Source organism: Homo sapiens, chromosome X (assembly GCF_000001405.40).
Source record: "Homo sapiens chromosome X, GRCh38.p14 Primary Assembly".
NCBI classification, from domain to species: Eukaryota; Metazoa; Chordata; class Mammalia; order Primates; family Hominidae; genus Homo; species Homo sapiens.
This window is the reverse complement of record NC_000023.11, coordinates 35,971,334-35,984,508: the sequence shown is the minus strand read 5'-3', so window position 1 is coordinate 35,984,508 and position 13,175 is coordinate 35,971,334. Positions and strand designations below refer to the sequence as shown.

The following is a 13,175-nucleotide window of genomic DNA, read 5'->3' as shown; positions in this document are numbered from 1 at the left end:
CCAACCCCAAAGCTAACAGAAGACCAGAAATAACCAAAATCACAGCTGAAGTGAATGAAATTGAGACATGGAAAACCATACAAAATATAAACAAATCCATGAACTGGTTATTTGAAGGAATAAATAAGATTGATGGACCATTAGCTAGAGTAAGAAAGAAAAAAAGAGAAGATCCAAATGGATGCAATCCAAAATGATAAAGGGGACATTAACACATACCCCACAGAAATACAAAAAAAAACTTATATTACAAACACTTCTGTACACAAAAATAGAAGGCCTACAAGAAATAGATAAATTCCTGGAAACATACAACATCCCATTATTGAACCAGAAAGAAAGTGAAACCCTGAACAGACCAGTATTGAGTTCTGAAATTTAATCAGTAGTAGAAACCCTACCAACCAGAAAAAGCCCAGAACCAAAAAGATTTACAGCCAAATTCTACCAGATGTATAAAAGAGAGCTGGCACCATTCTTACTGAAACTATTCCAAAAAATTGAGGGGGAGTGACTCCTCCCTAACTCATTCAACAAGGTCAGGATCATTCTAATACCAAAACCTGGCAGACATACAACAAAAAAGAAAACTTCAGGCCAATATCCTTGATGGACATAAATGCAAAGATTCTTAGCAAATTACTAGCAAGCCATATCCAACAGCACATCAGAAAGCTAATCCATCATGTTCAAGTAGGCTTTATCCCAAGAGACACAGGTTGGTTCAACATACACAAATCAATAAATGTGATCCATCACATAAATATAACTAACAATATAAAACATAATAATCTCAATAGATGCAGAAAAGGCTTTCAATATAATTCCACATCCCTTCATGTTTAAAAGCCCTCAATAAACTAGGCATTGAAGAAACACATCTCAAAATAATAAGATCAAAATAATAAGAGCCATCTATGATAAACCCACAGCCAACATCATGCTGAACAGGAAAGAGCTGGAAGTATTTATCTTTAAAATTGGATCAAAACAAGAATTTCTATTCCCACAACTTCTATTCAGTGTAGTGCTAGAAGTCCTAGCCAGAGCAATCAAGCAAGAGAAATAAATAAAAGACATCCAAAGAGGAAGAGATAAAGTCAAACTATCTCTGTTTTTAGATGATATGATTCTATACCTAGAAAGCCCCATAGTCTCTGCCCAAATACACCTAGATTGGATAAACAACTTCAGCAAAGCTTCAGGATCCACAATCAATGTATAAAAATCAGTAGCTTTTCTATACAACAACAATGTCTAAGCTGAGAGCCAAATCAGGAACGTGATCCCAATCACAATAGCCTCAAAAGGAATAAAACACCTGGAAATACAGTTAACCAGGGAGGTGAAAGATCTCCACAATGAGAATTACAAAACGTTAGTGAAGGAAATCAATGATGACACAAACAAATAGAAAAATATTCTGTGCTCATGAATTGAAAGAATCAATACTGTTAAAATGACCAAAGCAATGTACAGATTCAATGCCATTCCTATCACACTACCACTGACATTCTTCACAAAATTAGAATACTATTTTAAAATTCATATGGAACCATAAAAAGAGCCCAAATAGCCAAGACAATCCTAACCAAAAAGAACAAACTTGGAGGCATCACATTATCCAACTTCAAACTATACTACAAGAATACAGTAATGAAGACAGCTTGGTACTGGTAGAAAAACAGATACATAGACCAATGGAACAGACTAGAGAGTCCAGAAATAAAGCCACACATCTACAATGATCTGATCTTTGACAAAATTGACAAAGACAAGCAATAGGGAAAGGACTCCCTATTCAACAAATAGTGCTAGGATAATTGGCTAGCCATATGCAGAAAATTGAAGTTAGACCCTTTCCTTACACAACATACAAAAATCAACTCAAGATGCCTTACAGATTAAAATGTAAAGCCTAAAACTAAAAATCCTGGAAAATAACCTAAGAAATAGCATTATGGAGATAAGCCCTGGCAAAGATTTCATGATGAAGACACCAAAAGCAATTGCAACAAAAATGAAAATTGACAAATGAGACCTAATTAAACTAAAGAGCTTCTATACAGCAAAATTAACTATCAACAGAGTAAAAATACAACCTACAGAATGGGAAAATATATTTTCAAACTACGTATCTGACAAAAGTCTAATATTAAAAAATGGGCAAAGGATATGAACAGACATTTCTCAAAATAAGACATTCATGCAGCCAACAAGCATATAAAAATTCTCAACATCACTAATCATTAGAGAAATGTAAATCAAAACCACGATGAGATACCATCTCACACCAGTCAGAATGGCTACTACTAAAAAGTCAAATAATAACCAATGCTGTTGAGGTTACAAAGAAAACAGAACACTTATGCACTGCTGGTTGGAGTTTAAATTAGTTCAGCCACTGTGGAAACCAGTTTGGTATTTCTCCAATAATTTAAAAAAGAAATACCATTTGACCCAGCAATCCCATTATTGGGTATATAGCCAAAGGAATATACATCATTCTACCATAATGACACACGCATGTGTCTGTCACTATTAACCATAGCAAACACATGAAATCAACCTAAACACCCATCAACACTAGACTGGATAAAGAAAATGTGGTACATATATACCATGGAATACTACACAGCCATAAAAAAGAATGTGATCATGGCCTTTGCGGCAACCTTGATTGTAGCTGGAAGCCATTATCCTAAGCAAACTGATGCAGAAACAGAAAATCAATACTACATGTTCTCATTTATAACTAGGAGCTAAACATAGAATACACATGGACACAAAGAAGGGGACAACAGACTTTGCGTACTACTTGAGGATGGAGGTTGGGAGGAGGGTGAGGATTGAAAACTACTTGTTGGGTACTACACTTATTAACTGAGTGTCAATCTGTACATCAAATCCATGTGACAGGCAGATTTTCCTATGTAACAAACCTGCACATGTACCCCTGAACCTAAAATAAAAGTTTTTAAAAATGTATATTTTGTCTAATTGTTATATCATCACTCCAGCTTTCTTATGTTTCCTGTTTGCAAGTTTTTTATCCTCTTACTTTTATCCTGTTTCTCTGGATTTAAGCTACTTTTGTAGATTGTTTGTGGTAGATATTTCAGTTTTTGCTGTTGTTTTAATATCTAGTAGGCAGTCCTTGCCTTTTTATTTGATACTTGTTTAATATTTTCATATTTAGTGCTAGAATTGACATATTTGAATTTATATCTGCTCTTTTATATTTTGTTTTATGTTTGGCTCATGTATTTTTATTCTTTATTCCACCTTTACTATGTTCTTTGGTACTAAGTAAGTATTTTCCACTGACATTTTAATTTGTGTAATTATTTCCTCCTTTACGCTGTTTATAGAACTGTTACTCTTACATAACTTTACTCCCCTTTTCCTCCTTTGTGTGGTACTAATGTTATATTTATTGTATATTTATGTTACAATCTCAACAATATCTTTTTATAGCTATTTCTTTATGTAATTTTGTTTTAAATAAGCTGGAAAGACAAAGAGAGCAATTTTATATATATAAATATATGTAAAATCACAAACATATATATACACGCATATATGTTTGTGATATTAAACGTCTTATTGTCCAAATAAATAAGTATGATAATACACGTAAAAAATACTTGGGGAAACAGTTTCAAGTACATAGGAGGAGGGTGAAGCTAAAGAAAATTTATGTCCATAGCAAAAGAGGTTTGCGGAAGAGTTTTTTCAGATGAGAACATTGTTGCCCTAAACAAAATGAGGGTCCTGTTGGGAAGAGGAACCAACATCAGATATGGATTTAGCAATGCCTGCCAAAATAAGAGACATATAAAAACAAATAATTGTTGATGACATAACAAATGCATAATAGGAGCAGAAATAAAGGGTAAAAAAAAATAAATTAGCCAAAAAGCTAGAGGAAACTTCATTATATGGAGGTGGCATGTGAATTGTGACATGAAAGATGATCAGGAATTCTGCAGAAAGACAAATCCTGGGGAATATGTAAAAGTCAGGTTACGGAACAGCTTTTTCCTGTTCTTTGGGGTTTGGGGAAGATTGTGATGGGAAGTAATTTCTGCAAAGAAGATTCAGTCCTATAAATAAAGCCATCTTAGTGCCCTGAGAAGAGTTGAAAGCAGTGAAAGAATTATACATCCATATTGACAGGTCAGCTTGAGAAGAATTTTCTCCCTCCAATGAGCACAGTTATATATTTTTTCTTCAGGAATATTAAGTATATCAGGGGTATGGGAAAGAAACTGGATGGCTGTAAAGGAAAACAAAGTATTTCTCCCCAATATATTAAGATTGTTAAATTAAAAACACAGGAGAACACTGGGCCTCAGCCTCTGTTTGCCTGATGTTGGGATGTAAATCCTTCCTTACTGGAGACATCACTTGCTTATTGCCCCAGAGAAGACATCAGCAGGCACCAGAGAAATCTGGGAGCAGATTTTAGGTGTACATTTAAGATATTCTAGATAAACCTTCTTCAGTTTGTTTGAACAGGTATCAAACAGTGGTTGTTGTATTATCGGCATTCCAGCTATAGGTTCTGACCAACCATCTGATACTGTGCTAAGGTTTAAAAAGCTCAATACCCTATACTTTTCCTTGTATTAATATTTCTCTATTCTAACTAGGGAGGAATGGGCTGGGCTTGCCTTACGGCTGCCATGGTAAAATCTACCTTCTTATATTTTTCTGCCTTTTAAAAGACTGGAACTGCATTCTCCTTTGTCTTACTATGCTAAGATTTATTGCTCTTTGTTAAAATACTATTTAAATAAGACCTCTAAGCCACTGCCTTGTGAGATACTTTTGAACTGAGGCCTCTCCTATGTGATCAGTACAGCATGCATCAATAAATTTCTGCTGGTTTTTCTTTTGTTATTCTGACTTTTGTTTCGAGAGAGTATCTCAGTTAAAAATTTATGAGGATTGAAAAAATAAATTAGATTTTCTCCCCTTCAGCTGGATTGAGCAAGGCTGGGACTGGTAGAGCTGGTACTGCATACAACCAAGCAGTGAGAGAAGTGAGAAAGAGAGTGGGAGTGAATTGATCAAAAACAAGTTCATGGATTGTGTGATTCAAGGTTTTAGTAAGGATAAAGATAACAGACAAAAACAAAACAAAACAAGCAGAAGCATGAAAAATACCCACAGAAAAAGTCAAATTAGAATTGAATTCTGTCTTAGAAAATATCAGTCCACTCTTGGCCAGGCACGGAGCCTCATGCCTGTAATCCCAGCACTTTGAGAGGCCGAGGCAGGCGGATCACCTGAGGTCAGGAGTCCGAGACCAGCCTGACCAACATGGAGAAACCCCATCGCTACTAAAAAATACAAAATTAGCCGGGCGTAGTGGCACATGCCTATAATCCCAGCTACTCGGGAGGATTGAGGCAGGAGAATCGCTTGAACCCGGGAGGTGGAGGTTGCAGTGAGCTGAGATGACGCCATTGCACTCCAGCCTGGGCAACAACAGTGAAACTTTGTCTCAAAAATAATAAAAAAGAAAATATCAATCCACTCTTATATTCTCCCCTTACAATATCCACTATCAAACACAAACACAAAACCTATCATGCCTCAGGGAAGAAGGACAAAGACAATATAAATTTTAATTTGGAATTATTCATTTCAGTTTATAAAAATATAGAGAGAGGCATATGATTAAATGTATTGTCCAGGATGCAAAACTGATACAGCACAAGAAAAATAGCTTGGTAAAAAGTCACTTTCTGTTTATAAAATGGTAAAAACAATATGAAATTGAGTAATCATTATATAAATATTCTGAGGAAAGGAACATAAGCAAAACTGTATATGCTACAAATTACAAACACTTTTTTCAATGCTATATGAGATAGATTTGAGGATTATATTTTTGTATTCTTAAAAAGAACTTAAGTACTAATGGCATTACCTACACAAAAATTTTACTTGAAATTAAATATCTTTGTGTGTTTGTACCTTGGTAATTGTTTGTTTAAAAATTATAAGAGGTGTCATGAGCAACCAAAGAAAATAAAATTAAATGTAAAAACCTCTCCTGTAAAAATAAGAGTTCTAAAGACCACAAGAAGCATAACTGGTACTCCAGCTTATAATATCATAATTCCACTTCTCTTTTACAAAAATTAAGTATCATCATTGCATTTCCATAGCAGCCATAAGGCAAGCCCAGCCCATTCCTCCCTAGTTAGAATATAGAAATATTAATACAAGGAGAAGTATAGGCTAGTGAGCTTTTTAACACTCTTAGCACAATATCAGATGGTTGGTCAGCACCTGTAGCTGGAATGCTGATAATACAACAACCACTGTTTGATACCTGTTCAAACAAACTGAAGAAGGTTTATCTAAAATATCTTAAATGTACAGAAATATGTTCTTTCTTCTCTAATTACTCTCTCAGCATTTCAATAGATTGAGGCAGGATCCAGTATTTTCAGTATTAAAATTTATAAAGAGCTCGGTCAAGTGAATCTGTGAAATGTTGATGAAAGTATATTTCAGATACTTAACAAATTATGATGTAGAATGGTGTTAAATCAATCCACATTAATAAGAAGATTAAATAGCTGTGTCAGTGATCTCCAAACCTAATGAAAGGACTGTCCTACTCTTCCACTTGTTAAATTTGTCAAAATCTCTATCTACACATCCACACTAAAATTAAGTGAATTTAATTTAATACTTAAGATTGTTTTTATAACACTCCCTGTTACAAGCACTTTTAGAGCTATGTAAAATACTGATTTGGAAATGACTGATATTCACAAGAAAATATGTTTAAGGCAAGATTTCTACAAACCAGGACTCGTCTGAAATATGAAGTATAGTATATTTCTATTTAGACCCTAAATAATTACTGTTGCTAAATTAGACTTAAAGAGGGAGGGAGAGAGAAGGGGAAGGGAACTAGAAAGAGAACAAAGGAGGGAGGAAAGATGAAAGGAGGGAGGAAAGATGGAAGGAAACAGGGAGCAAGGGTTTTCTAATGAGGATGGATGGAAAGGTGCAGGATAGGTTATTACTCTGAGGATCGTTTCAGGAAAAAATTCCAAACAGATTTAGAAAATTTTCGTAATAAAATGGCTACCCATTTATTTGGCACCTACTCTTTGCCAGGCATTAGAGAAGTTTCTCACACAATTAATCTTTGAGATGTAGTCATCTCTCCATTTTACAGATGAGGAAACTTGTATTCACAGAGTACTTTGCTTAAGTTAAAATAGCTAGTGAGCAGCTACGATTATCCAAAGTCTGTTTTACTTTCCATTCATGCAAAATTGGACTTCGGCTGTTATAAAGCACCAAATGGGTCACTATTGATACAAAGATCCAGCCTTTTCATCTAGCTGGAAAGGCACAACATGTACATAAAACAAAGATACCGTATTGATCATTCAACTTCTTAATTGCTATCTTATTTCCTAAATGATAGCTTGTGCCATCATGAGGTCCTCACAGCACATCACAAGGATGTTTGCCAAATTTGACAGGCTACTAAATAAGTCACAGTTTAGCAGTTACGATTGTTCATGTTACAGCAGGTATACTATGTGGAATTATAGACTCCAGGGAATGGCAGAAACAAGGTTAAGAGGATGCTTCACAAATACAGGGCACGTCAAAAATGGTATATCTGAGATTGTCTTCTATTAATTAAAAATCATCTTATTTAAAGTTCTTAATTTTATTAATTGGATTTTATGAGTTGTATTAAATATTGGCTATAAGTAATTTCTAGATCTTTCTAAAAGAATTCATACTAGAAAAATATGTCATTCTGAATCACAGATTATCATCATTATCTAACTAAAACTAAACAAAATTTATTTTGTCCATAAGTATCTGTGATGATCAATTTTATCTGTCAACTGCTCCAGGCTGTAGGGCTCAGTTATTTGGTTAAACTCCAGTCCAGATGTTGTTGTGAAAGTGTTTTTTTAGACGTAATTAACACTTAAATCAGTAGGCTTTTTGAAACAGTTAATTGACAAAGACTGTATACATTCAAGGTGTACAACATAATGATTTGATATGCATATATAGTATAATAATTATCACAATCAGTTAATTAACATGCAGATTACCTTTCATAATGCGGGTGGGTCTCATCCAATTATTTGAAAGCCTTAACAGAAAAGACTGATGTCCCAGGAGGAATAATAAATTCTGCCTCCAGAATGCCTTTGGACTCAAGACTCCACCATCAACTCTTCCCTGTATCTCCAGTCTACCACCCTGCCCTGCAAATTTCAAACTTGCCAGGCCACACAACCACACAACCTGTGAGCCAGAACCAGTTCCTTAAAATGTCTCTCTCTTTATCTCTCTCTCTCTGTCTCTCTCTCTCCCTGTTGGTCTGTTTCTCTGGAGAACCCTAACAAGGGTTCCATATTTCCAAATCATATTATATCTGTAAAAATAAATACCCCTGATGACAGTATCTGATTTACTTCTATACTCTTGGCACCAGTACACAGTACACACTCAATAAATAATTAATACCAGAATACATGAATACATGAAAAAATAAATGTCTAAATCAAACAAACAATAAACTGTTACCTTTAGCTGGACAAATAGAAAATGCTATCCCTCTTCCTGTGTTTACGGGTTGCCATTGAAACTGAGCACAACAATTCTGACGATTATACAATCTAACTGTCCCCCGAAAACATGTTTTCATGAAGAAGCCTCGTGGTCTCAATACTAGCTCATTAGAAGATAGCTCAAGTGTTACTGGCTGGACAACTGCCACCACTAGGATGTGTCCACTGGGTACATTGTTCACTGTAAAGGTGAAAGACCTGTAATGCAGCAAAAGCATCCAAATTTAACTGATAATAGTTATTTGTGATTATAGAATTCAGCTACACGTAAAATGCACATAGCATTGATTAACATCCACAATTCTTAGCACGTAATACTTTAATTATGAAAGATAATTAGATTGCTACTAAACTATCAATCTATATATCTAAAAATTGATGCACATATAGCTTCTATGTTTGGAGAACAAATATAATATACAATACAATTATTCAGGAAAATAAATACATATTCTACAGAAGTACACTTTGATTCTAACAAGCAGAAATTCAAAAATAATCCCTACTTCCAAAATTTTCCAATGGTGGGAGAGTCAAATACCATTGAAATATAAGTACTGGATGTAGGTAGAATCACGTATGAAAATTGGTTGGTCTTCTGAAGTTCTTCTAAATCAGTATCTAACTGGAGCAAAACATGCATAGGTAGCATATTAATAACATGAAGTAGATGAGTATTTGGAGAGTTCACACAAATATTACCAAAGTTAAGGACAGAAGGCCCTGAAAAAAAATGAAAAGTATTTTGTTAAGTTTAAAGATGGCAAATGACTTCATTTACTTTTTAAGTTTTCAAAATATATTTTGATCAACCAATTTGTATAAAAATGAAATTTTAAAAAATATTTACAATAATAGCAGGAATTATTAAGTAAGCATTTTTTTTCTAGATGACCATGATTAAATGTTTGGACATTATTGGCTACAATTCAATATAAATATATTCTAATTATATGAAAAATTATATGACTAAATAAGAACCATTCACTACAACTTATCTTAGCACCTTAATTTGCAACACTTCAACACCTCCTCTATTCCCACTAGTACAAGTATTTTGTTCACTTATCTATAATTTACGGAAACTGGTAAATTTCCCATGACCCATTGCTTAAGTTTTCCCCTTAAAATGCCCAGGATTTTATATCAAAGCAATTTTAATAATTTTAAGTTTTGCCCTGCCTTTAACAGCTTAATTAGTTAAAACTGGCATATAGTAAGTAAACTGAACATATTTAAAGTATAGAATTTCATTAGTGTTCGTATATGTATACACCTGTGAAACAATCACCACAATAAAGACTGAACATTTATCACTCCAAAAATTTTGTGCCCCTTTACATTCCTTCTCTCCCACCATTCTCCATGTTTTATATGCTGAATTCCCCCCTAGAGAGAGAATCAGCCCAATCAATCATCCTTTGTCCACATCTCCCTCATGGCCACCTTAACTGTGGTTAGAATGAAATGAGAACTCCCACTTCAGACCATTATAGCCACTACTTCTTTAATCATAACTGTCCTTCAATCACTTGGTGAAAACAGACCTAGAAGGGTATATTGTATAGCACTTCTTCAAGGTTAAAAAGGAGTTTTCACTTGTTCTCCTAACTCACAGTCAGCCCAGATGCCTCATGTCTTTACCTCACACAGGTATCTGTCTCTGCTCAAATATACTTCTCAGAGATGCTAACCACCTGGTAAAAAAGACTCTCCATGAAAACATTCTATTATTCTCGATCTACTTAACCTGGTTTATGTTTCTTCATACCTTGTATACCAATTATGTATTATATAAGGAAAGGTTTATTATCTCCCTCCCACCCCAGCCAAATGTAATCTCTATGAGAGCAGGGGCTCAGTCTGTTTTCTTCATTGCTGTATCTCCAGAACCCAGAACTGTGTCTAGTATATGGTGGTCATTCAATTAACACTTATAAAATGACTGAATGGATAAAGGAATTACAATTAGACTTTAAGCATTTTCTAATGCAGCATACTCATCTTAGGGATGAAGTGTTTTCACTAAAACTTTCTAAACACTTATTATGTGTAAGGCACTTGGTTCACACAATTATACTATGGGGTAGGCAATATTATCACTTCCCATTTCACAGATGAAGAAACTGAGACCCATAGAGGTAAACCCTAATGTCACTGCACTAGTAGGTTGCAGAACCAAACCCAGTTTGGTCTCAGTACAGAGCCTTCCTACTCTATAGCACACATGGTGTTCTTGAAGCACACAAACACAATTCCAGAGAGAACTAAGCTAAGAATCCAAGTTGCAGGCATATCTACATTATGCTACAGATAAACACATACACAGAACATTTTCTATAATAAGAAAGCAAATATTTGAATAAAAAATTGGGCAAAGAGGCCGGGCACGGTGGCTTACACCTGTAATCCCAGCACTTTGGGAGGCCGAGGCGGGCGGATCACGAGGTCAGGAGATGGAGACCATCTTGGCTAACACAGTGAAACCCCGTCTCTACTAAAAATACAAAAAATTAGCCAGGTGTGGTGGCGGATGCCTGTAGTCCCAGCTACTCGGGAGGTTGAGGCAGAAGAATGGCATGAACCCGGGAGGCAGAGCTTGAAGTGAGCTGAGATCACACCACTGCACTCCAGCCTGGGCGACAGAGCGAGACTCCGTCGCAATAAATAAATAAATAAATAAATGGGTAAAGAATTTAAAAGGCATTTCTCCAAAGACTATATATGACATACATAGACATTTCTCTAAGTAAGTACATGAAAATATATTCAACATCTTATTCATTTAGGGAAATGAGTATCAAATCCACAATGAGATAACATTTCATACTCACTAGTAGGTCTATAATCAAAAAGACAGAAAGTAACAGTGCTGGTGAGAATGTTGAAGAACTTGTAACCCTTATACATTGCTGATAGGATTACAACTTTGTGCAATCACTTTGGAAAACATTTTAGAGGGTTTTTTTTTAAGTTAGATATAAATTTATTGTACAACCCAGCAATTCCACTCCTAGAAATCAGAGAATTTTATGTGAATGTTCATAGCAGCATTATTGATCATAGCCTCAAACTGAAAACAACTAAATGTCCATCAACTGGGGAATTGATAAACAAAGTGTGGTATACTCATAAAATGGGGTGCTGTTTCAATAGAAAAAGGACCAAAATATTGATACTACCTACCACGTGGGTGAACCTCAAAAACATTATGCTAAGTGTAAGAAACAATATATGAAAGGCTAGATATTGTATGATTCCATTTATTTTCAGAATAGGCAACTGTATAGAAAGTTGATTAATGGTTGTCTGAGGCAAGGGGTAGAAATAGTAACTGGGCGGGGTGCGGTGGCTCACACTCTGTAATCACAGCATTTGGGGAGACCAAGGCTGGTGGGTCACTTGAGGTCAGAAGTTCAAGACCAGCCTGGCCAACATGGTGAAACCCCATCTCAATTAAAAATACAAAAACTTAGCTGGATGTGGTGGTGCTGCACCTGTAATCCCAGCTACTTGAGAGACTGAGTCAGGAGAATCGCTTGAACCCGGGAGGTGGAAGTTGTAGTGAACCGAGATCATGCCACTGCACTCCAGCCTAAGCAACAGAGTGAGACTCTGTCTCAAAAAAGAAAGAAAGAAAGAAAGAAATAGAGAGTAACTGCATATGGGCATGAGAGTGATGGCAGCATTCTAAAATTAAATTGCGAAGGTGGTTATATAACTTTAAATTTACTAAAGTTAATTCTCTCAGTCATACTTAATAACTATGACTACTCTGAGGACTTCTTATATTTCCAAAGTTGATACTTGCATACTTTAAATTTTATGAAATATAAATTACACTTTAAGAAATCTTTTTTTTATAAAAAAATAAAGGCTGTAGTAGGTTTTTGTGTATTCTCACCAACAATTACTTGATGAATTTGCTTTGGTGTCAACATTAAGCTGCAATCATGTTTTTCTTGTGGAGTGGATGGTTCTGATTTAAGTCCTTTGAGAACCTGTAAAAAATCATATTTTTCCAGAATTATTCATTATTAGCAAAAGCTATTTTAAGAATTCTCGTGGAATAACCAAATGTAAAACATTGCACGTGCCTTTCTTCTCACAGACTCTTCCTCCTGAGATGCTATACCCCTGGTGGTTAACAATCGATTCGCTCTAATTGAATTTGCTGCTGAAGACAGCTCCTCTTCTATTTCCGCTTCTGAGAGTGAGGGTGACTTTAGACCTGATCCTGGCTCTAAGCCTATGTCTGTATCATCATATGAATACATGCGCTCCCTATAAAATTAATAATAATAATAATCAGTAATTGAGGTCAAGTCATTCAAAAAATGCATCTGTAAATTCAAGCCTTTCCCATAGTGCATATTGCTGCTGCCTCACTCATATCCACTTAACCAGACTGGTGCACTAATCCACATAAAATTGTCCTCTGCTGAGGAGACTCCCTTCTCAAACATCTCATCGAGGAAATTATGCTCATGCCTGCCACACCCAAGGACAGCCAATGACTGATATGGAACACAAAAG

The 13,175-nt window shown here is 35.3% G+C and overlaps 1 protein-coding gene across 4 annotated transcripts in view; it reads right to left on the bottom strand.

Moving 5' to 3' along the window:
• Nucleotides 1–13,175, bottom strand: part of CFAP47 (cilia and flagella associated protein 47) — a 465,584-nt gene that overhangs the window by 400,809 nt on the left and 51,600 nt on the right. For all 4 annotated transcript variants that reach the window (NM_001304548.2, XM_017029452.2, XM_017029453.2 and 1 more), the window contains exons 12-15: nucleotides 12,737–12,923; nucleotides 12,544–12,640; nucleotides 9,146–9,362; nucleotides 8,596–8,837 (exon numbers count right to left, since the gene is read on the bottom strand). In NM_001304548.2, coding sequence (NP_001291477.1) covers nucleotides 8,596–8,837; nucleotides 9,146–9,362; nucleotides 12,544–12,640; nucleotides 12,737–12,923 — 743 coding nt within the window. The remainder of the gene's footprint in view (nucleotides 1–8,595; nucleotides 8,838–9,145; nucleotides 9,363–12,543; nucleotides 12,641–12,736; nucleotides 12,924–13,175) is intronic.